The 26,100-nt window shown below is 36.1% G+C and overlaps 1 protein-coding gene and 1 long non-coding RNA gene across 2 annotated transcripts in view, besides 1 other annotated feature; both read left to right on the top strand.

Annotated features, from left to right (window-relative positions):
* NALF1 (NALCN channel auxiliary factor 1) overlaps window positions 1-26,100 on the top strand; it is a 703,987-nt gene that overhangs the window by 385,830 nt on the left and 292,057 nt on the right. The gene's annotated exons all lie outside the window — the stretch shown is intronic.
* LOC105370353 (uncharacterized) lies at window positions 11,867-15,683 on the top strand. The gene is made up of 2 exons (XR_931714.3): window positions 11,867-13,257; window positions 14,417-15,683. It is a non-coding gene; the product is annotated as an uncharacterized LOC105370353 (long non-coding RNA).
* Window positions 23,137-23,638: an enhancer, noted in NCBI's record as "H3K27ac hESC enhancer chr13:108110377-108110878 (GRCh37/hg19 assembly coordinates)". NCBI's record gives its function as "activates a minimal SCP1, AML or CMV promoter by ChIP-STARR-seq in naive H9 embryonic stem cells {active_cell/tissue: H9 hESC(naive)}" and the evidence as "EXISTENCE:reporter gene assay evidence [ECO:0000049][PMID:30033119]".

Raw genomic sequence — 26,100 nt, 5'->3', positions numbered from 1 at the left:
CCTGCTTCACCAGGAGATTCTCGGGCAGAAAGCATTGTGTCTTTTCATCCTTTGTCCTCTGAGAGCAGTACCTTCCATCAAGTAGGTGATTAATAGATCGTTTTTAACTCACTAACAAACTCAACTATAAAAAGTCAAGTTCAGTACCTGTTTACATGCTTTGGAGAGTAGTAAACAATTGATTTTAGTTTAATTGCTTTTATAATAACTTATTTTTAATAGCAAAGAAATTAACTTTTTTCATTTGAGTTTGAAAGGGCTGTAGGAAAGAATTTTAGACTATTAAGTCACTTGAGATATATTATTGTGACAAGATGTATCGTTAGCAAACTGTTTCAAGATAGTATGTCATTTATTCGGCATTTTAGGGATGGGCAGTTTTCAGTCTCAGGGAGATTTTTCATGATATGGAATCTTTCAGCAGCATCATCTTGATCTCAATGACATTATGATAGAACTGCTCTTTAATTGCACTAATTAAGCTCTCAGCAATCAATCCAGTGGTAATATGTTTGTCAAAGCAGTTTAAAAGTAATTAGTAAAAGAGAAAAATCTTCATCCTCAAAAAGCCAGGGCTGCCTCAAAACCTCTTCAGATTGTCAAAAGGGCTAACATATTCAAATCTTGATCTTGTTCAATAAAGTCCTGGGTTATTTCAGTTATCAAACGATCAAAGTTTTTTTTTTCAACCCAGTTTGTTTTACTTTGGAATATTTTTAAAGATTTTAGTGGGTTTCGTAGAAGTATTAGCCAAATGATATGAGAAAGCCTTCATCAGTATGTTTTGTTTAAAATTAGAGATTTAGTCGAAATACTATTTTTAGCAAATATTATTGCTTCGTTCGAGCTTTAGACTTTCCTTATCTCATATAACTTTATCTGTGTTCTACAATGTTTCATTTTAGACTAGAATAAAAAATAAAACAGTTCTTTAGTATAAACAGATTTAAATGTTCTATAGTAAGCTTGTCCAACCCACGGCCCGTGGGCCGCATGTATCCCAGGACAGATTTGAATGAGGCCCAACACAAATTTGTAAACTTTCTAAAACATTATGAGACTTTTTGGGGGGATTTTGTTTTTAACTCATCAGCTGTCATTAGTGTTAGTATATTTTATGTGTGGCCCAAGACAATTCTTCTTTCACTGTGGCCCAGGGAAGCCACAAGATTGGACACCCCTGTTAGAGACTTGAAACATCCAAGACATGTAGCAATTTGGAATTTTACTGAAGAATCAATTTGAGTCAAAATATTCCAAGGCAGATATGCTAGAATTACTCAGATAATGACTTAATAAATGAAGAAGTTAGTGAGTAAGCTAATGAGTAAGCTTAACCACCTGAAAGGCACTACATGTTTTACTATTAAAAGGGGTCTCTGAAGTCATTGTGCCAAGTTTCACAATTCAGCTCCTCCACTCATTAGCTATGTGTTCTTGGTACATTTACTGGAGGCCCTCATCTGGCCTCAACTATAAAATGGGTTTAATACTAGCAGAAACGGTGCTTAAAAATGTTAGATTTTAATAACTAAATTTGGCTTTAAAGTTTTTGTCTCCAAATCATGAGTAAGTGATCCCCTCTACTGATTAGTATTTTAGGTTATTTTTTGAAATTGGATCCTTTGAAACATATTTTTCCCTTTCCTATATCAAGCCAGAAATTACTTAAATGACCCATCTTCGTAGTGTCAATCTCCTTCTTGGTATTGCAACCACTTTTCATGAAGGTAAAAATTGCAGAGAGAGAAACTGAATGGAAGTAACTGTGTGTGACTTTCAAAAAAAAGCCATTTCTTCTATATTAATTTCCTCTGGAGTTCTTGAAATATAATCTACTTAAATTTTTAAAAAGTTATACAGGCAAATTTCTAATATGTCTGTCATACATTTCATGGGTCTCAAATATTGTTTTACAATAGGCTAAAACTATAGGAGCATAATATCTTCCTTGAAAGTCTGGATATTAATTGGTGGTGCATGTAATTAGACAAAAGACATTAGCTCCTCCTCCTTACATTTTTTTTTCCAAGAGCAAATCTCCCTTAAAATTTCATCTAGTACTTTAATTGTTTAGAAATTAACTGTTTAACCATTCTAATTCCAAAGGACGAAAGTCACAATTATGAAGGTGGATACATATAGGTTATGTGCCAGCAACAAATGTTATATATTAAAAAAGTTGTTGTGGAGGAGTTAGAGCAGAATGAGAATCAGTCTTCTTTGATAGATATGTAACAGAAATAAAAATATTTTAAAATATAGGAGATGAATATAAGATTGGCATTTTTAACATCATTGTAAAAGTAAAACAAAGAGATACTATGGAGCAAAATGATCATAAGAGGGTAATAGTTATGATGCCAGGAGTTTCAAAATTCCCAGAAGTCAGACCCTGATAGCTCTCTTGAGGGCTTTGCACTGCCAATGCAGATGTTTCCAATGTTCAGGAAAAACTTTGAAAAACTAGAGTGTCTGGGCAGGGAGAGAGGACAGTGGGATCAGAACATGCAGCAGCTGCCTCTCATCTGGTTTAATGGACTGACTTTAAGGGCATCTTCTAAGGAAGGTTGGTACTGACAGTGTAAGTCATTCCTTTGGCACTCTGCATTCATTTGAATTAAAAAGCAACTTTGATGTGAAGAATTTTTAATTCTCCTGGTTTGCCAGGTGCTCTGCATGATGAAACCCTGAAGATACTTTTGAACTGTTACTTTCATGGAAAGTCAGAAATTATTTTATTTTAGGATCTGGAACAAGCACATTTCTTTCTAAACATTCCACATATTTCTCAAATATGTATTTTTAACACAATAAAACTCTGTAATACGTTACATAATAGTGACTTTTTGTGTTGAAGTGGCACAAATCCGAGGTTTTAGTGAAAATCAAAAAAGGCTGTTTCTTTAATTTTCCTAGTTATGCAAAAAAAAATTATAAAAACAAATATAAGCATTTATCCCTACCAGCGATTAAGTACAGCACAGTGGTTTAAACACAGAATGGAAAACCAGACTCTCTTTGTTGAACTCTTTTAGGTGACATTGAGTAAGTTCTATGTCCACTTTGTTTTTGTTTTGACTTTCCGAAAAATCCGTACTATGAAAATAGTAACTTCACCAACCCCATAGTGTTTTTGTAAATAGTAAATTAATGCAAAGAACAGCCTCTGGTATTTAAAAATATTCAACACTGACTTTTTTTCTTGTTTGATATGTTATATTTTATTTGTAAATTTTATTTTCTAGGTATTTTTGTTTTGAATCGTTTTAAAATGTTAACTAACCAAATTACATGATTAGATTTTGTTGAATTCTCTGAGAAAAAGATAAGGTCCAACTAGAAATAAAAATTACATTTAGGAATCTCAACATTCATTTCAACAAGTATTTTGAGTTTTGCAAATACTCTGTTCACATCAAAAATGCACATTTCTTATGTGAGAAAATGAGTGTTGACTGCCAACTCCCTGAAGGATCATGATGAAGCAAAAATTGCACCAGAAAAGTTATACAGCAAGAATGGCTTCATTTAAGGTTACTGCAATAAGAGTTAGACAGACTAAACCCAACTAGGAGCTTAACTCTGCTAAGACAAAGGGCTGGAGAGTTTTAAACGCAGAGAGCAGGGAGCAGGATGGTAGGTTGTCTGAGTGTACTAACCTTCTGTGGAGAAATCATACACTTTCTGTGACAGGAGGCATTTATACTTTGAAGCAAGGCATCTGCTGAAGTTAGGCTTCTACCCTCCTATAAGGACTGGGAGATAGAAGTTCTATCTTCTTTGATGATTACTTTTCGAAGGAATGGCTTGTAGGTCCTTGAGAAAGACATTCCTGGGTTGAAAACCTGGCAGCAGGTTGGAAGAAGACATACACCTTTAAGCGGCAGGAAAAAAAATTAGTTACAGGTTTTCTAAAGCCTCCTGCCCTAATCAATCCTAAAATAAATGCTCTTAAAAATTATTTTAAAAAAAAGAGTCCTGGAATCAAGAAACTTGTCTGAAATTTAGTCACACGGAGGAGATATGAAGGTTGTCTTGAGCAACTACCAAGAGTAACCTGTTGATCAAGCAAAGCTCAGTTTATTGCTTCCAGTAAGGAAGATCACAAGAAGATGACTTTCAGTAATTTTCAGAAGGGAGGGCCTAGGAATGGATATTTGTGGGCTTTTTGAGGTCTGGACTCAAGTTATTTAAGATAAATCTTTCCCTATAGGGACCTTAGGAGGATTGGCCCAAGGTCCTGATTTTGTGATTTAGGATTAGTGGACTCCTAGAGGTGAGGGTCTTGAAGCAAATATTGATAAATAAACATTTGTTCTATAAAAGAGCAATTTGCTGAGAGGGGTGCTGTTTGAGCAATCTGTTGGTTTGGGGAAAGCTCCTGAAGCCAACCATGAAGTTATTTACTGACTTACAGCTTTATCTTCCTGAGCAAATATTTGTGAAACAGATAGTAAAGTCAGGTTGATGCAGAAGACCCTGATTCTTGGTCCTCGTTATTAAACTATGGGACTCCTTGAGGTCTCAGTTCACAGTAAGTTATTGAAAGTTCAAGTGTACAAATTTCTATTTTTCAGAAATTGAAATAGAAGACAAAGATGACTTTTATTTCACTAGACTTTTTATTGACTCAGTTTCCCTGACTGCAAATGCCATTAGTGAGAGTTTCAAGCATTGCATAAAAATAATTTTTAAGGTCATATTAATATGACTAGTATTCTAAAAAAATATTGTCCATTTTAATTCTCTACTTACTTTCCTAAATTGTTTATTGACTTACAAATTAATTGATCCCTGAGCTTCTAAATACCTCTTGGCTCATTAGAAGAACACTTGTATTAATTGACCCAGCAGAGGGTCTCTGTGGTTGTCTCTGCTGCCAGAGAATTTCTACTAGGTGAGTCCATTAAGGATTCCCATATAAATCTATAATCACAACCTTATGATATTAAATGCAAAAATTTGCAGCTCCACGTGTTGCAAGTGAGGTGTATTTATAAATAGAACTAATAAATTGTCAAAAAGTATCTGAACTTTATTCACTCCTCTGAGAAAGATTATGCTAAATGTTTTGGATGGTTTGATACTGTTCAGGTATCAAAATAATAGAGTTCTTACTGTTAGAATGAATAACTTGCTTAAAATATATTAAAATAATTAGATAGATTTAATAATACAACTGTTTTTAAAGGCAGGATTATATACATTTTCAGCCAAAATAGCTCTTAATCTAATTTAATTTTCTTATACATTACACATGAGAAAAAAATATGCTCAGATGGTTAAGGATCTAGTCAGACATTTGGTAAGGGAAATCAGAAATTCTAAAGCTTTGTATCATAACTCTTTATAGCACATTGCATGCTAGTTTGGAATATTTTATTTTATAATCACCGCCTTTGATGAGTGGATTTGATAAGAAAGGTTATTTGCGTGCATGAGACATCAAATTAGACTTAAGAAGTCGGCTGCCTGCAATGGCAGGACACTCTTTGTAATCCAAAGATGCTGTCCTCAAAAGGAATTACATGAATTCTAAAATATTATACCTTTCAAATATCTATTTTTTCAAGATCTAAACCTGTCACCCAAGTACTGATACATTTCTCAAAAGAATATAGATGTTTACATACCTTAAATCTCTTCTTCTCAATGAATCTGTCTTCAGAAGCATTATGTCCAGTGATTTATAGGTTTTGGGATTGCTTTTTCTCACATTCTTTCTTACTATTTATAACTCTCCTGGGTCCATGGGGAAAAAAAGAGGGAAATTGTATTTGGGCAGCACTGGATGAAGACTTTAGGTATGTGTGTCTCTGTCTTTGGTTTCCTACATAGTATTGGTTGAACAACTCTCAATAAATAGTTTATATGAGGAAATAATCTTTATTGATTTAATTGTGTTCATTTTATTGACTAGAAGAGACAAGAATTCCCTGAGAATTTCTTTAGTAGTTTCTACCATAAAATTAGGCTATAATTATGCCTAGTTTTATTAGTTCATTCCTTGGCTCTTCAAGTATTTTTAAATCATTGATTTGAAATGTGAATTCTTATTACCCCAAGAAATCTCCAACTTGGTCAAGAACTTTATAGTAATTAACATCCTCCCTCATTTAATTCATTTAATACATTTCTCCCTCAAATAATCCAGTACATTTTTGTTCATCATTAGTTCTAGTAAACAGAACAAGTATCAAACTGAGTAAGCTCAGACTTGGCAGCAATTTGTGGATAAATGACATCTAAGTTCAGCTGATTTCAAGAGTAGTAGAGCAGACACTAAAAACTAACGCAAACCTTCAAAGTACAGTTTCTAGAAGATAGTATAAAATACAGTAATGTGCTGTCTTGTGTTTGGACCCTATCAAAAGTGTTTTGTTCAGTACCTGGCTGTATGAACACAAAATGCTATACGCAGAATTGAAGAGTGCTTTCCACATGTGTTCAATGAATGATAGCCGAGTTCAAATATAATGTTCGGATGACAAACCTTCCAATGATGGGGCCTGTAGTGTTGTTTCCCTTTCACATTTCAGCTCTTCTGGCCTCTTCTCTCAAATGTGAGTGCCCTTCTTGGTTCTCTAATGAGAACCTCTTGTTCTATTTTCCTGGGTGGTAGCAAGTTTAGATATTGTACCCTGCTGGCCACTTGACACTTAGCAGATGACGTGCTCTGATTTGTGTTTCAGGAAAATGTGACAGCCTCATTAAAAGAACCAGAAAGCTTTCAAACTGGTATGAAATTAGGGACCCTGAAAGAAGGAAAGCATATGACCAATATTTGCCTAATAACTTCTTAGAGAATATGTCTTATACTTGTGAGTATACAAAAGAACCCAGGCACAGACATTATACACTTCATTTCAAAAATGTCTACCTTCTGTTAACAAAAAAAACTTCCATGGTAGGATCTGTCTCTACCCATATACGTACTTGGATAGTGCCTCCCATAACTATTAAATCTCTTGTTCTTGACTGTGTACTATGAAAAATCTCAAGCCTGCAGATACATTGATTGAATAACACAATAAACACCTACATTTAACATTCTGCTACATTTTCTCTCTCTCTCTGTATGTATGTATGTGTATTTTTCTCTAACCCATTTTAAAGTATGTTGAAGACATTATTACATTTCTCTCTCAAATAATCTAGCATATTTTTGTTAAGTATTAGTTCTAGTAAACCATACGAGTATCAATATGAGAAAGATCAGAACTTGACAGCAATTTGTGAACAAATGACATAGAAATCCAGCTTATTCCAACAACAGTGTGGGGCAGGAGCTAAAAACTAACACAATTCTTAAAAGTACAGTTTCTGGATGATAGTATGAAATATAGTTCTATCTTGTGTTTGGACCACATCAAAAGTATTTTGTTTAGTATTTGGCTGTAACATTCCAGTTTATACCCTTGAAAAGGGAAATTTAGTCCTTGTTCCATTGACAATGTTAGGGATTTGAGTTACTATAATAACTTATATGCCTGTTGTTATCCTATACTGTCCCTTAATTTCAGAAAAAAAAATTTTATTCAGTTCTGAATGTTCTTATTGAGAAAAGTAGTCAATAGAGTGTGCCCAAAGGAGCAACACTTGAGAGAAGAAGGGAGTAGAAATTGTCTCTCATAAAGGGTAGGGAGGGAGCTGCAAGGGTCCCAGTGTACGACTGTGGGGAGACCATGTCCTTATCCCTTATTCCTAACACTCCTTGTTCATATACAGGGAAAAACACATACAAGGCACAGGAAGCAGGTGCAGGGACAGTGTAGGGCCCCGCTGTCATCACCGGAGCCAACAGCCACTGAAACCAGATGGTTGGGAGAAGTCGCACTTTTGTTTCCCCTTGAATGTGGGAGAATAAGAAGAACTATTTGGGTAGAATTTTGTATGTAAATCAGTACAAACCATTGGGGCAGGGAGCAGGGTGGAAGGGCGTCTGCTGAATGGAGTGAAAATGAAGACTATGAGAATCTAAATCTGAGATGGTCTGCTTCTGTAATTCTACTACTATCTTTTGGCCTCTCTTTTCCATAAGCAAATTGTTGTTTCAATGGTCCTTCCCTCTACCTTCTCTTAGGCAGTGCCATGGTATTTTATGAGACATATGTCCTGTTTTCTTCAGAGAAACAACCACCATTTGTTGAAATTATATTACAATATAACTGTATCTTGGGTGACTTAGAGAGTAATTAAAATGCTGACCTTGCGTTTTATTTTAATTTTGGTGGAGAACGCGGAGAACACTTGCCATACATGAAATACAATCAGAGTGAGACTTCTAAGGAGCTTACTGAAATTAACGTTCCTGTATTCTAAGTCAACAAAGCAAACAGGTGAATTTGTTATCAAATTCCAGGTGTGTCCAAAACCCCAATGTTAGAGATGATGAGTAAAATGGTTGTTACTTTCCAGGACCCTGGCGCTGAAGAATCTAGACCTACACTCATGAAAAAGATCAGTCAGTGTAAAAACAGAAAAGCCTGTGGTACACAAGGGAAGCATTGGTATTCCAGAGGGAGAATCTATGTAAGGTGAAAGTAAACACAAAAGAAAGCTTCATACAGGATGCTGTGTTCGAACTGATCCTTGAGGAAAGTATGCTCATTCAAGAGGAAAGGATGAAGGCATTTCAGGAAAAGTGGGAAAGTGAGCAGTGCTTGGGAATAGAAAAGACAAATTCCAGGTTGAAAAGGAAAAAAGCAGCAAAAGAGGAGCATGCTTCTGTTTCTCCCCAGTATTAGTCAGGGTTCTCTAGAGGGACAGGACTAATAGGATAGATGTATCTATGAAAGGGAGTTTATTAAGGAATATTGACCTGCATGATCACAAGGTGAAATCCCACAATAGGCCGTGTGCAAGCTGAGGAGCCAGGAAGCCAGTCCCAGTCCCAAAACCTCAAAAGTCAGGAAGTAGTGTAGCTTTGAGACTGTGGTCAATGGCCCGAGAGCCCCTGGCAAGCCACTGGTATAGGTCCAAGAGTCCAATAGCTGAATAACTTGGAGGCCTATGTTCAAGGGCAGGAAGCATCCAGCACGGGAGAAAGATGGAGGCCAGAACACTTAACCAGTCTAGTCTCTCCATGTTCCTCTGCCTGCTTTTATCCTAGCCACACTGGCAGCTGATTAGATGGCACCCACCCTCAACCTGGGTTGAGGGTGGGTCTGCCTCTCCCAGTCTACTGACACAAACGTTAATCTCCTTTGGCAACACACACACAGACACACCCAGGAACAATACTTCACATCCTTCAATCCAATCAAGTTGACACTCAATATTAACCATCACAGCCCCAGTGTTATCTGAAGTTTATTTGTTTGTTTGTTTGTTTTGAGAGGGAGTCTCGCTCTGTTGCCCAGGCTGGAGTGCAATGGCACGATCTCAGCTCACTGCAACCTCCACCTCCCAGGTTCAAGCAATTCTCCTGCCTCAGCCTCCCAAGTACCTGGGATTACAGGTGCCCGCCACTATGCCTGGCTAATTTTTGTATTTTTAGTAGAGACGGGCTTTCACCATGTTAGTCAGGCTGGTCTCGAACTCCTGACCAGTGATCTGCCTGCCTCAGCCTCCCAAAGTTCTGAGATTACAGGCGTGAGCCAATGCGCCTGGCTATATCTGAAGTATTTATGATTACTTTGGAGCCTGTATTTTAGCACTAGATGAATCACAGAAAAAGTACTGTTGGTAAGTTCACAGGGATATACAGAATAGGTTAATACATTTTTTTCTTGACTGTTTTAATAATTGGAGAGACAAAAACATATTCCTCTCTTTTTCTTCTCTGCCATTTTCAAAGAAAATAATACATTGGGATGAGATGTCATAATGCATAAATGACTTGAATAATTTTAAGTGCCACAGGGATACCCCATGTTTTAAGAAGGGTACTTATCTTATATTTTCATTTTATCCCCTGCTCCTCTATGAATGAAGAGATCTAATTCTTCAGATAGCAAAACAGAAACATTTCTTCCCAAATGGCACATTGATTAGAGAGCTTATTTTTGAGGTTTCTATAGTGGATACAAAAAGTCAAAATAAGACATCAATGAAGCCAACATATAATAAATTACCAATAATTTCTTAGTAATTAAAAGTCATACTGGAAACTTACATAATATCCACGCCATGGCACTTTCTAAATAAGTCCCACAATATTAGAATATGTACAGCAGAAACTGTGCTGTAATTGCCTCCTGACCAGCTGCCCCTGCCTACCCTTCACTTCATTTCACCATCCCCTGACCCAACTGCAAACCCCATCCCTCCCTTCTTTTGCACCTGCTTCTGCCCTAGACAGTTCTAAAATTACATGGCCAAAATGCTCTTTCTTATATGTACATGTGTCTTATTTTTTAAGAAATATGGTAGATAAATTAGCATTTTAGAAGGAATATAATCCGCATTTTTAAAAATTGCCAATTTGATGATCACAATGTAACTTGTGTCTCACATGGTAATTTGGTTACGGCAATAAATAGCGTTATGCGCACACACATGCCATAAGTTATACAGTCTAGAGATGCATGGATTTCTCTTTCAGCCTCTCCAGTAGGATGGCCAGCTTTATCAATGGGTTTGGATAAGAGTGACTTCATATCACAATATCATAATATACCATGCTGCAAATAGTTCTTGAAGAATATTTTCCAGCTGTGGGAATGATTTTTCTTGCTCAATCATAAACCAGTTTTTTGGCCTTCATTTTAGCAAACTAGACTCATTGCCAAAACTTACACAATATAAAAGCATGTAAAATATGTGAAAGTCACCCTTTAAATTATTAACGATCGTAGTTATTAATAATCTTATATTATTATTTTGTGTGTATACATAAGTATACATGTATATGTGTATTATATTATAATAATATGACTATATAAAATCATTATCTGACTCCAAAACATTTCAACAGTTCAAACAGAATTATGTTAATATTTTTTCATGTCTTCATCGTATGTCATGGACTGCATGTAAAACAATTCATTTAAGCATTGGCCATTAAGGGACACTTTGGTTTTTCCAGCTCCCTCAGTTTTGCAAATAATGTTCCAACAAACATTTTTGTACATGTATGTATGTGTATTTGTGTGACTATTTCTGAAGGACAGCTTTCTAGAAGTGAAACGTTGACCTCAGTTAACCTTTGACTTTATTGGTAGTGGACCAAAAGTGAGCAATGCAAAGAAAACTTCGTGACTTCCCTGGATTTACAGTATATCATATGAACAAATGTGTCTGACTGTCTGTAGCCAAGTAGACTTTTGCTCTACTATCTGCATGCATAGATGAGACTTATGTTCTGCCTGAAAGATAAAAGAATGTTCAACCATGAACTTTTGAGGATAGGTGTCCTAAAGCATTGAATGTTTGGATCCTTTCTCTGCTACCTCACTAAAGTGTCAAATAAGGAAGGAAGTAAATTTAAAATGAATAGTTTAAGAACAACCATATGCAAATAAGTAAAGTTAGGGACCATTAGACCTTTCCAGACAAGATTTTATTATTCTAGCATTTTTAAATTTTTTTGACAATTACTGTGAGATTCAATTATAAATATTGATTTATTACCTAAGAGGGATGTCATAAACTTATCTTGATTAAAAAGATACATAGTTGGTCGGGCGTGGTGGCTCATGCCTGTAATCTCAGCACTTTGGGAGGCCGAGTCGGGCAGATCATGAGGTCAGGAGATCGAGACCATCCTGGCTAACACGGTGAAACCCCGTCTCTACTAAAAATACAAAAAATTAGCCGGGCGTGGTGGCAGGCACCTGTAGTCCCACCTACTCGGGAGGCTGAGGCAGGAGAATGGCATGAACCTGGGAGGTGGAGCTTGCAGTGAGCTGAGATCGCACCACTGCACTCCAGCCTGGGCAACAGAGCGAGACGCTGTCTCAAAAAAAAAAAAAAAAAAAAAAAAAAAAGATACACAGTTGACTCATCGCATTTACGGGTTCTACATCCACAGATTCAACCAACTACAGATAAAAAATATTAAAACATAAAAAAAACTTAAACATACAGTGTGTCAGCTATTTACATAATATTTATATTGTACTTGGTATTATAAGTAATCCAGAGATGATTTAAAGTGTACAGGAGGATGTGCCTAGATTGTGTGCAAATACAACACTATTTGATGTAAGGTAGTTGAGGATCCACAGATGTTGGTACCAAGGGAGGCTCTGGAATCAATCCCCATGGACACGTAGGGCCAAGTGTACTTTACAACCACATGGTGGACACTTCCATTTTTTTTCTGCTGCCATAATTGGGCATATAACAATCATGTCTCTTATCTATAACTGTTAAAATAAAACTTGAGGCATCGTCTATAAGAAGCATCACGTATGAGAAGTATCATCTGTAAATGATAAAATCTTTGATTTCTCTCTCAAAGGTCATATTTAAAGAATTTATATGCAGCTTAGGTTGAAAAATAATAAATGCGCTCTAAAATAGAATACCTTGTTGAATAGGAGAAATTTATGACACCTTTTTTTATGACTGATTTTTAAATATAGAGTAGAATTTTAAAACTGAGTATAAAAATATAAAGTAGAATTCTGAAGCTCATTTTAGAAAAGTGAGTATATCGGTAAAAGTAAAACCTCAGAGACCTTGGAAAATATTAAAGTTCATATTTTATGGCAAAAATTTTATTGAGAAAATTTTCTCAAAATTCAGCAAGACATACCAACTATAATCATGCTGTTGTATCTTTATTAGATAATCATAAAATATATTTATTTTAATAGGTAATTATGCCTGTGTTGCTGTGTGTACTTTGACTCCATACCATGCAAATACACCTATAAAATAATTATCTTCTTTAAATACTAGGATTTTCTCTCTTGTTTGTTGCCAAAATGTTTTTCTCATACTCCCAATGTTAAAATCACCCATTATTATAACTATTTGTTTGCATATTCGATTCCTCTCTTACTCTTCCAGAAGTTCAGTTATTCATTAAAACATTTGACAGTGTTTGTTACATAATAATTTTAATCAGAAACTACATATTTTATATCCGGAGCTTTAAAATTATGTCTGGTCAGCTATACTGTTGAAAATAGAAATTGATTTACTTACTATTTTATTGTAGTTTCATACTTTTTACAATGGCTAGTTTTAAAAAGAGGCAACTTGCACACAATTGAAGTGGATCAACCCCTCTTAACCAGTTGTGGCTATAAAGATTGACAGCAGTGGGTGGTCAGCCTTCCTTTCATTCTTCCATGTACACAGGTGAGTGTTGCTGTCTATTTTTCCTCCAGCTTTCAAAGTTTATGAGAGTGGAAAAACGGTCATGTATACATCTTTGTACCTGTTAATATTTGTTGAATGGAATCAAACTTTTTGGCATAGTGGCCTCCATTTTGCCTTAGGTAATGACAAGTAAATTTTAATGAATTAGGGTTGAATTAAATTAAAGCAATAACCGCTACAATTTTCTTCTGTGAATTGTAAAATACATCAGAAATTTGTTTGTTATTTGCGATAATCAAGTGCCTTTCCATGGCAGAAAAACAGACAGAGGTACAGAACAGGCCTCTGACTGTTTTTGCCAGACAGTTGCTGATTTTAATACTTTTTTTTTTTTTTTTTTTGAGACGGAGTCTCGCTCTGTCGCCCAGGCTGGAGGGCAGTGGCGCGATCTCAGTTCACTGCAAGCTCCGCCTCCCGGGTTCACGCCATTCTCCTGCCTCAGCCTCCCGAGTAGCTGGGACTACAGGCGCCCGCCACCACGCCCGGCTAATTTTTTTATTTATTTATTTTTTTGTAGAGATGGGGTTTCACCATGTTAGCCAGAATGGTCTCCGTCTCCTGACCTCATGATCCACCCGCCTCGGTCTCCCAAAGTGCCGGGATTACAGGCGTGGGCCACCGCACCCGGCCAATACTTCTTGAATATTGATTGTAAATCGTATAAGAATTTTACTGATGGTTTAAAGTATTTGACTTTTCACTGTTCTTATTTGCCTCTCATATGGCTATTTCCCCTACTAAATGCAATATTAATAAAATAAATTTCTTAATTGCTAATTTGTTTTTATTAATCATAAAAAATTAGGAGAAGGTAATGAAATTTTTATTATGGATTTCAGTAGCTTGACTTTATGGCAACACTCAAGAAGAGCAAGTAGGATTGAATATGCTGCTATCCCTTTGTGGGTAGATCATGAAAATTTTAATATATTTCACATAGAAATGGAAGAATGTGGAGTAGTGGTAATTATTCTGGGGAACTGTTTTTTTAACCATGAAATTAAGGTTAATTCAAATTAAGAAAATTAAGATGAAATGTTTTTAACCTTAGTCTCTTAGTAATGAAAGTATATATCTATTTTAGGTGCCAAAATCGGACAGATTTTAATTTGATATTTATCATTTCTACTTGTAATAGAAATGTCATCAGGATTCAGTTACTTCTATGTCAACATGGAATTATGTAATCTGCTCTCAAAATTCAAAAGACTACCAACATGTATTAAAATGTCGATCAAGAATTCATATATACATTTCAAGAATATGTTGAATTAACAGATGAAAAAAACTCCTTAGAAAAAGTGGTCAAATATTTCAAGTGAAGTTTGGTGGGGAAGTAAAATCTTTAAGAAATTACTATGCATCATTGTCAGTTAAGTGCAATATAAAATGGACATACATAAATGAAAAAGCCAGAATAAATAAAGTTGACAGAGAAATTTAAAAGAAGCAAGAAGCCGTTTTCCACACCCATACCCTGGTTGCACATTGACCACACACTCCAAAATAGGGAGGAAAACCGAGACAACACCCTGAAAGAAAACAAAACCAGAAACAGCACTTTACAAGAAATTCTCCAGAATCTTATAATACAAAGACATTTTCTACAACTCAGATCTCCTTTCCAGATTAGCCTAATTTCTTTTTATTTCAAGAAATGTGCTTCTGAATTATCAAATAAACTCTCTCAATCTCTGCTTCTGCCTGAAGTTGAATGGATGAAACAACTAAAAATCTGAAGATTTTATAAGATTTCCATATGCTGTAGACCACAAGGACGAAGGCAGTTGTTGTCCTACCTGGAAGCAGGCAGTGCCTTGACTCATTTGCTCCAGACCCTGTCTCTGACATGCTTGGCAGACATTCTCCCCAGATGAGTCACTCCTGAGACCTGCATTTGAGTGGATCTTCCATGTCCTGCAACCCTGATTTCCACCTCAGCCATTCTTACCCTTATTACCTTATCCATGTCATTATTGAACTTGCTCCCTGCTATAGACTTTGCATGTGTGTGGACCTCCAAAATTCCTATTTTGAAATCTAATCACTGATATGCAATAGAATTAAGTGGTGAGGACTTTTGAGAGGTGACTGGGTCATTGATATGGTTTGGCAGTGTCCCATCCAAATCTCATCTTGAATTGTAACTCCCACAATTTCCACATGTCATGGGAGGGACCTGGTGGCAGGTGATTGAATTATGGGGGCAGCCCTTTTCCTGCACTGTTTTTGTGGTAGTGAATGAGTCCCATGAGATCTGATGGTTTTAAAAAGGGGAATTTCCCTGCACAAGTTCTTCTCTTGTCTGCCACCATGTGAGACGTGCCTTTCACCTTCTGCCATGATTGTGAGACCTCCCCAGCTACGTGGAACTGTAAGTCCAATAAATCACTTTCTTTTGTAAATTTCCCAGTCTCAGGTATGTCTTTATCAGCAGTGTGAAAACAGACTAATACAGTCATGAAAGTGGAGCCCTTATGAATGTGAATAGTGCCTTATTAAAACAGGCTTGAGGAAACTTGCTCACCCATTTCACCATTTGAGGACACAGCTAAAAGGGGCCATCTATGAGGAACAGGCTTTCACCAGATGCAAAATCTGCTACCTTAATCTTTGACCTCACAGATTTCAGAATTGTGAGCAAGACATTTCTGTTGTGTATAAATGACCTAGCGTTAGGTATTTGTTTATGACAGCCCCACCAGACAAATACACTCCCCAGTGCCCCATCTCATCAACAGCCATAGCATCATTGCCAGTGTGGAGTAGGATTCCATTCCAAGTTCTGGTTGGTGAAAATGAAGCTCATTACATAAGGAATGCATTAGCACATTATATATACCAGTGAAGACAGCAGTCTGATAGATCTCCTCTGAACTACTTTGCTCATCAGAATCTTGTGTGATAGAGGTTTTCCCAGAGCACAGAGACCCAGGCAGGTGCTAAGATAGGTAAAACAAGTACTTAAATTAGGAGGGTAAAGAAAGAGTAAAAAAAATTGTATAAACTTTAAGATTTATAAAGAATGCTAGGCAAAAAAGTAAACAAAGAGACATATATATATATATATATATAATTATACAGTTTGATTCGTAGTATATATTAAAAACATGACAATATTTAACAAACCAAAAAGTGAGATATTTAATAAACCAAGGGACCATGTAGCATTTCCTTTTATATTAAAAAAATCTAAATTGAAAACTTCTGTGACCGTACCAAAGTTTCACATAATGTTAATAGAAGCTAAAAATAATTTAAAAATCATGAAGCAGACTTGCTGATTTTTATGCTGTAATTAAACATATAAATGTTAAAAGTAAAGTTTATATACCAAAATGTAAAGTTAATAAAAAATGCAAAGTGTGACCTGTAGGATCAATCAATAGTGAAAAAAAATGAATAAATGAATAAATAAAGCCTATCTTATAATGACTCCAGAATAGAGATCAGATTAGGTAATACTTATTTTATTTACTTGAAATTTCATCAAGTGGTATACATTAAATATATACTGCTTTTTGTATGTTGAGCATACCTCAACAAAATGGTCTAAAAATTTGTATTGCCGCCGGGTGTGGTGGCTCATGCCTGTAATTCCAGCACTTTGGGAGGCCGAGGCGGGCAGATCACCTGAGATCAGGAGTTCTAGACCAGCCTGACCAACATGGAGAAAACCTGTCTCTACTAAAAATACAAAATTTGCCAGGCGTAGCTGTTCATGCCTGTAATCCCAGCTACTTGGGAGGCTGAGGCAGGAGAATTGCTTGAACTGAGGAGGCAGAGGTTGCAGTGAGTCGAGATTGCGCCATTGCACTCTAGCCTGGGCAACAAGAGTGAAACTCCGTCTCAAAAAAAAATTAAAAAAAAAATTTGTATTGCATTTATTTAAACAATGGCATGATTTCTGAAAACACAAAAAATCCATATAAAAGTCGTACAGTAATTGAGAGCTCACAGTCTAATACATTCTTCCAGCTCCCTAGTTTTGACACTTCAGTGTGACTTTGGTGCTGCCCCCTTCTAAAATCCATACCATCTATTCCACACTTAAATATTTCTCATTTAAATTTCATTCATCTTCATGTGTATTAATAGTAACAGCAAACTTTTATTGAGTGTTTGTTGCATATCACTCACTGTACTATGACAGTTTTTTTTTAATGTGAGTTGGTAAATAAAAGCATTTCTGTTTTACATATGAGAAAAATAGACATTCATGGAACTTAGATAGGTTGCCAAAGGTAACATAGCTTGGGAAATGGTAGAGCTGGAAATCTCACCCACTTGCCTGGTTGTGAGCATGAGTTTTGGGGTCAGGCAGGTGGATTGGAACCTGGAAAGACATTCTTACTATTCTACACCTAACTAGTAGGTTTTCTGTTCCAATGTGGATAGCCCTTCATTCTTAGCTCTTTTCTGATAAAGATCTATTATTGAAACGATTTGGTTACACATCAGTTTTTAAAAACTAGATTATGAACTTCCCAAGGGCAAGAAACTGAGCCTTCCTTATCATTATATCAAGCAACAAGCACAGTTTCTGATTTGATGTAAGGCATTAACAATGGTATCTGCTTTTTTGGAATGCCTTTTCCTCTTGTTTTTCCTTGCTAATATAAATATTCTACATCTTCTGTTCTCTACTGAATACTCTTTAATCTGTGGATGTTGTCTGCTCTCCACAAACACCTGTCCTTATTTTTGAACCTCTGTAACAAGGCTTTTGTCATATATCATAAGTATCTTATCCTCAAATACTTAATATTATAATACCTGTACATCGGTTTCATCTTTCACTCTCATGCTTCTCAGTTTAGAAGCTTATTGGAGGCAAAAACAAAGCAAAACAACAGCAACAAAACTTTCTCTTACTCAATATACCTGTATCTCCTACATAGTAAATTTCAAAATTTGATATGCATGCTTTTTATTTGGTCCAGCAACATCCTTTCCTTCCTCTCTATTCTGTACCCTCTCCCAGATATTGGCAATTTACTTAACAGGTTACATAGAATAATGCCCTCTGGGCCCATAGAATTGTGTAGAAACACAAACCTTGGAGTCTAACAGACATAGCTTGGAACCTTAAATCCATTTCTTTAATCTATGTGTGATTCTTATTAGATTAACTCTAACTGTAAACCTAATTGTTAGTAAAATAGAGTTGGATAATAATTCCTATGTCAAAAAACATTTAGGAATATTAAATAAAATAATTTATATAAAATCACAAAGCACTGTATCTGGTATTAGTAGATACGCAGAGATGAAAGTACTGTTCTTTTCCTCTTCAAGATTCAGACCATACATCTTCTGACCTCTTCCCTCAATCCGTCGGAACTATCTCTGCTTTTATGTGTCTGCCCATCCTATGCACATCCATGTGTGTCCGGGTTCCCCAAGACCACCCTCAGGCTCCATGATTTCCTAGAAGGACTCATAGGACTTGGAAAAGCTGTATGCTGCTGATGATTGTGGTTTACAACAGTTAAAATATACAGATTAAAATCAGCAAAGGGAAAAGGTGCATAGGGCAAGCCCAGGAGAAATGAGGTGCAAGCTTCCAGTTACCGTCTCCCAGTGAAATTCTATAGACAGCACATGCTTCTCTCAGCAATGCAGTGAGACAACACCCACAAAGTGTAGCTGCCAAGGAAGCTCACCCAAGCCTTCGTGTCTAGGGTTTCTCTGGGAACTAGCTGAGTAGACATAGTGCTGCTCTCATAGGGCAGAGTATTCCAGTGACTGAGAGGGCATGTCCCAGGAGCCAGGCAGGGGCCAGTCCTCATGAAACAGGCCTTTATTTTGAATGGGCAGGGCTTGGGCAGCCTGGGCCTGCTGAGTTGACCCTTCACCACCTGCCATGTGTCATTACACCCATTTCACATACCCATTTCTTTTATTTTCCTCTTACTTATTTCATATGCAATTGATCTTTGTTGGGTGGTTGTATAAATAAATGCACTTATGTAACTTCTGATGTAATCTAACATTTCTTCAAATATATGTAATATGCATTGTATGTTAGTTGATAATTAGATTATTTCATTAATTCAGACACAAGTTTATTTTTTTTTCTTTCATTTTAGAGAACCAGGCAAAATACGAACTTTGTATTTGCTCGAACTTCACATTTTGTATTTGCATTTCTTTGGAATATCAGAAAGTTTTTTGAAGGTTGCTGGTGATTTATAGTTACTGTAGGACACACAAAAAAAATGATCTTTAACTTGGAGTACACAAAATGGCAGAATTCACACATTTATGGGTAAATAGAGAAAACTTTCCTTAGTAGGGTTCAGCCTCCCAGGAAATACTAGGAAGATGAGGGTCAAAGCCAATGTTTGAAAAGCCAAGGAAAATATGTAACGGGTAAATAAGGGACTACCTTAACATAAGAATGTGAATAACCTACTGCCTTTTTTAACTCAGTCTTTGAGATGATTGAGAAGGGCTGGGAGCTGAGACCAGGGCAAAAGCTGGGAAAAGAGCCAGTGTCTGTTTGTTTTCTTAGTTCAATTTAGAATTCTGTTGGCTCTTTTTGCCTGGAGAAATATGAGTTGAGAGAAAAGGAAAATCACACTAAAAAATCCACAATGACTTTGTATTATTAATATGCACAATTTAGTGTATATTATACCATATACAATTACAATATCTGTAAACTTCTAGACCTACGGTATATGCCACCTTGCAGAAGACAGCACCATGTGAAAATCTGTGTTGAGATTTGCTAGCATAATTCAAAAAAAAGTTTTGAAAACTTGAAAATATTTTTGACCTAATTGAAAACAAAATATGCATGTCAGAAAAGAATATGATTTTTCATTTTACATCATGGTGGTAGGAAGTGTTTAGAGAATTTATATAGAGAGTAGAGTTTTGGAAGTTTGATACAGAGGAAAAGGAATGTTTCTCATAGCATTTTCTTAACACTAATTTTCTGCAACTGGAAAATGTGTCTAATATTCTTCTCAATTGTTTAGTTCATAAATGACATTAGATGTGAATATTTATGCAAATCATAGCACGATTTCATTCAAGTTTAATTACTTCATGTTAATAAATAGTTTTGATTAATACAAGGACATTTCTAAATTATATTTAATTCTTTTTTCTACTAAGGAAAAGACTATAGTAAAAAAATGGACAAGATCTCATTTTTAGAAGAAAGCATATAAATTATTTATCCTTTTATAATTTTTAATGATAAATTTTAGACCTTGGGTTTAATCCATAGCTTGGGTCTTTATTTATCCTTCAGGATTTTGTTTTATGGGTTCTTTTAACAAAATAATTCTCTAAATTTTGGTCTTTTAGAAGGACAGTTAAAATCAAGGATGAATACTCTGATTTTTACTCTATATTTTAAAGGTGGCTTTAGGTCCCACAGTGAAGTATTAAAAGGTGTCTCCTCATGTACAAATGGATTTCTTTTCCAAAAACATGATGATGTTAAAGACAATCTTAATGTCTTTTATTCACCTCTAATACCCTTGATTAGGTTACATTGCCATTAGTCAGAGATGTTCTTACATTTAAAGGCAAAATTTGATATAGTCTGCAAAGAATCCTTAGAAGAAATATATTTTAAGAATAATTTTGTTTTGATAAATATGAATTGAGAGAAAAGCAAAATCATTAACAAATTGATAGTGACTATGTATTATCAATATGGAGAATTTAGTGTATATCGTACTGTATACAATTATAATATCTGTAAAGTTCTAGACCTGTAATATGCACCACCTTGCAGAAGACAGCACTAGGTCGAAATCTGTGTTGAGATTTGCTAGGTACAAAACATATCAATGCTTTTCTTAACCACAGAATCCTGTGTACCTTCTACAAAAATTGAATTTGATGCCCAGGAACATCTTTTATAGAACAAAAGGCTTAGAAAGAAGTCAGCACATTGGGACTGAGCACATCTACTCCTAGCAGAGAATAATACCTGGAATGTCAATTGTTAGCTCATAATATTGGAGGAAGGTGCCAAGTCTCAGAATTAGAAAAATAATTGGATGTTATGTAAAGAGTAGATAACCCTCGTTGCTGAGCTCCCATCTACAGGACCTCTGTGTGTAGTCTTGTTTGAGGATCACACAGCTGTGCCACTTGGGGACAAATGTGGAGGTTGTGAATCCCTAGAGGTGTCTGGGCTTCTTGCTTTTTAATTTATCATCTTGTCACCCTCCCACTCTTGCTTCTTTGAGGTTGAGATGAAAGAAGTGAGATATAAAGAAGTATTCATTTCACTTTTTAATTAAACATTTGGTTTGGTTCCAAAATACAAGACTTCAGTTCACATGCACAGAAAGAATGTCAGAAATATGGCAAGAAGGGCCAGGCGAGGTGGCTCATGCCTATAATCCCAGCACTTCGGAAGGCCAAGGATGGCGTCTCCCTTGAACCCAGGAGTTTGTGACCAGTTTGGGCAACATAGTGAAACCCCATCTCTACAAAGAATACAAAAATTAGCTGGGTGTGGTGGCACACGCAGGTGGTCCCAGCTACTTGGGAAGCTGAGGTGGGAGGATCACTTGAGCCTTGGGAGGTCGAGGCTGCAGTGAGTGGAGATCACACCACTGCACTCCAGCCTGGGAGACACAGAGAGACCCTGACTCAAGAAAATAAAAAATAAAAAATAAGAAGCATGACAAGAATGGCTTAGAAGGGATTTTCTTACATACAGGGGATTTTTACTTACTTTCGCTCCAGGAGACGTAAGCTCTGCTTCAGGGCCTGTGTGGCTTTTTTATCTTGAAGTCTTGGAATGCAAATATTTCTTGAACTCTGTCAGAGAAAATATGTGCAGTGTACTATAAAAATACTGCAGGACAATATTATTGTGGTCTCTGATGAAAAAAATGTTTTTTTCTTATGTTTTTATGCAGTAAGACTTATCAGTCTTTGGCTCTATTGTGTCTTCTAAGGCTGAGAAAGGCTTTTTTATTGTATACTAACAAAACAGGCCTTATATATATATATATTTGTATGTTTTACCTTAAAAGCTTTTATCAATTTACAATTTGCTAGCTCTAGGGTGCGAAGTGAAGACAACTCTTTTAAAAATAACACGCTTAATTTCCTTTTGTATATCTTCTCTGATGAGGTGTCTGTTCTGATCTTAAAAACCCCTATTTTCATTGGGTTCGTTGTTTTCTTTTCCTGGGTTTTATGAGTTCTTTGTATATTTTGGAACTGGATACCAGCTCTTTATAAGAAAGGTATATTTTCAAATACTTTCTTTTAGTCTGTGGCTTGTCTTCTTATTCTTTTAATGGTCTTCACAGAGCAGAAGGTTTTAATTTTAATGATGTGCAGCTTACCTTTTTTTTTTAATTCCTGAATTGTGTTTTTGGTGTTGTATGTAAAAAGCCATCACCAAACTCAAGGTCGTCAATTATAACAGATGTACCTCTCTCAGGCAAGATCTTACTAAGGGGGATGAGGCATGAAGGTGTGTATAGAAACACTGCACTTTCTGCTCATTTTTCTGAAAACCAAACCCTGATCCAAAAAATAGTGTATTAATAAATTGACTGAGCCAACAAAAAATATTAAATAATGTCTCTCTTTACATTAAAATACCACTTTTGTCATACGCCAAAAATTACTCCCAGGCTCGCTATTGTCTCCATATACATGTTTCTGCGTTGTTGGTCTACTCTTTAGAAATGTTTAACATTAACAGTGAGTAAATCAAGGCAGCTCTTCTTTATGATTTTCCCAGTGGTGGTGAAGTCCAGGGGTTTGTTAAACGTTGTGCGTCTTCCTGTTTAACCTCACCTTGTGCTCGCCTGCTTCTCTCTCGTTTCCCATCACTCCCTGAGGACCTGCTGCCCTTGGCTTTGCCCAGGCGTGCACTTCCTGCACATGAGGAATACCTGCCTGCTTCTCATGGCCATTACTGGGCATCCCTGTATTGCCGGCGACAGTGGTTACCATGTCAGGCGGCCCCTGCCTCTGCGCATTGGCACACACTGTTCCGCCTGTGTGGGGTCCCTGTTCTCACTGCTATTTTTAGCACTCTTGTTGAGTGGGGGCCCATTATCTCTGCCAGAGCTTTCCTGGTCCCCTCTCTGAGTAAAGTGTCCTTTAGGTCTCCTGTCAAAGCGGCTCTAAAATGTTTCTTATGCCAAATATGAGGGCTGGTCACTTAGGTGTCTACGTTTTTCCTTCAATGCTGTTTTTTTCTGACATAGAATATACTGTTTCTTTATTTTCTAATATGGCATGCAGCAGGAAATTAGCATGAAGGAGATGTTTTTTGAAAGAGAGAACAAATGAATAAATGAAGAATGTTTTCCTATGTATTGTTTCCTTCTCACTGCTTTGGGTTTTGAGGGCAGTGAGAGGACAAGGGGATAGAGTATGAGAGATTAAGATCAGGCTGTGGAGTGTTTGTCAGTTAATCAATGTGGTCTAAACCACTTTACAAAAGAATTAACAACGTAGAAATAATACAAAAGGTGGAAGCAACAGCTCTGTTTGCACTGGGAAATGTCTTTTAAGAGCAGCTCTTGTGTAGTTGCACAAGTGGAAAAATAAACGTGAACAGAGATTGCCAAAAATAAGTAAATAAATGGAACAGGGAAGCTTCCTTGGAAAGTGTTTGTTTATTGGGCTTCAGTAACCAAAACAAATGTCTCAACATTTGTTTTCAACTTTATCTGAGATTTTAATTTCCATGTGTTTGTCTTCAATTGGCCATTTAGCCTTCATCAATAAATAGCAGTGGGTTCAGAAAACATATATATGTTTTAATTTATCTTTGCCTGTGAAGATATAGCTACTAGTTTAGCAAATGAAACCTTAAGCATCATCTGAAAACTCTGAATGTTAAGGTTGTATTCTAGTAAATGTTCTAAGCCAGGGAATAGAATGCCTTCCTGCTTCTCCTGTGCTTGCTACACTTTCTTGGCTTTCTGCACTGTGTTTGTAGACACACATTCACTTAACCAATTATCTCATGAATTGGATTGAGGCCAATATTACCTATGAGGCCAATATTACATTCATAGGTAATCTGAAACCATTGTGGATTTTGGATTTCTCACCAGTAAACTGAGGTAGTTAGATCAAATGCCTCGAAATTCCCTCCCAATACTAAGCTCTGAATATATTTAATGTGTCATTGTCTCCTGACAATGCTATTACCATTTGTGATTTAAAGTAAAAACTTTAAATCATACCATAAACTATTCGAAAATAAAGTTCTTTAGTGTTAAGGCAGCATTTATTCATCTTGAATGGAAAAGCTAAGTAAGAAAGTAAGAAACACTCTTTCCAATGATTTTATCTAAACCTTAGAATTTTTTTCTGCATGTTACCAGTGTTCTAACTGTGGCCTTATATTCTCACATCAACAGATGCCATATGAATGTCATCATTTAAAGCCCATGAGCTTTAATAAAAAAATTTAATTAAAGCTCATGAGCTAAATAAAAACAAGGTAATTTATACAACTTCTTGAAGGTGATAGATAACTTGTCTAATCCCTCTTTTTTACAGGAACTGTGGGTGAAGATTCACCTTTATCAACTCTTACCTCTTAAGGAAATGCTACCATTTCCTAGAGTTTATGGTAATTTCAAATATGTTTTAAAAAATGGAAATATGAGAATAAACTTACCACGTGCCAGCATGTTTCCTAGCATTGAAGTCTAGGAAGTGTTCTCTGCAATTTATTTTTCTAAAATAAAACTGATAAGAAATTTCAGGCTGTAACGAGAGGTCAGAGTGTTGGCAGCACATTACATATCATCCATGAAAATAAAACTGCTGTGAAACCACAAAGGGTGGGAAAGTTTTCTCCATTAGTATACTAAGTAGTGTTACCTGACACAAAGCCAGTAAACACAGCTTAGAATACCTGAGTATTTCATTAATCTAACATGGGCCAAATGGAGAGTTTCATTGAGATATGATATGATTTATTTAGCTGATTCCTACTGGTCCCTAGCAATGACTTCTTAAGTTGTCACACAGACGATGATTCAAATAAGAAATAAATTTTGAAAAATTAATTATAAATGTCATGGGCCACATAAATCTAGGTAGCATTGTGCTCTGAAAGTTTACCATTGCTTTTACTTTCATGCCTTGTAGTTTCACAGAAAAAATAATAAGTTGTGTTCTAGCTCTGAATTAAACAGGCACTCTAGTGTCAGGTGAGAGAAAGCCTGAACTTGTCAAATTCCCACTCAGGTTGCTTTCTGCCTTCTGAGATGAACTTTCTATTGAAAAAAACTCCTCTATCCCTCTATCCTACCCTTCAATAAGGCTTCAGTCAAAAAGAGAGCAATGAAAAATGTTTCATACAATCTAGCAGTTGTTCTTCTGGGTATGTACACAAATGGGTTTAAAACTTTTGCCCACAAGAAAACCTGTAAACAAATGTTTATAGCAACTTTATTCATAATTGCCCAAGCCATTAAACAACCAAAATACCTTTCAATGGGTAAACTGTGGCACATCCTAACAATGAACCCATATTCAGCACTTAAAAAAAAAAAAGAGTTATCGAGCTAAGAAAAGACACAGGGGAAGATTGAATGCATATTATGAAGTGAAAGAAGACAATCTGAAGGCTACATATCATTCCAACTATATGATATTCTGGGAAAGGCAAATCTATGAAGACAAAGGGATCAGTGCTTGCCAGAGGTTAGTGGGGAGAGGAGGATAAACAGGTGGAGAACAGGGGATATTTATGGCAGTGAAACTACTCTGTATGATGCTATAGTTGTGGGTACATGTCATTAAACATTTGTCAAAACCCATATACTGTACACCACTGAGAGTGAACAATAA

Source organism: Homo sapiens, chromosome 13 (assembly GCF_000001405.40).
Source record: "Homo sapiens chromosome 13, GRCh38.p14 Primary Assembly".
In the NCBI taxonomy this organism is placed as follows: Eukaryota; Metazoa; Chordata; class Mammalia; order Primates; family Hominidae; genus Homo; species Homo sapiens.
Note: the sequence above shows the minus strand (reverse complement) of the source record. Positions and strands in the feature narration are given on the sequence as shown.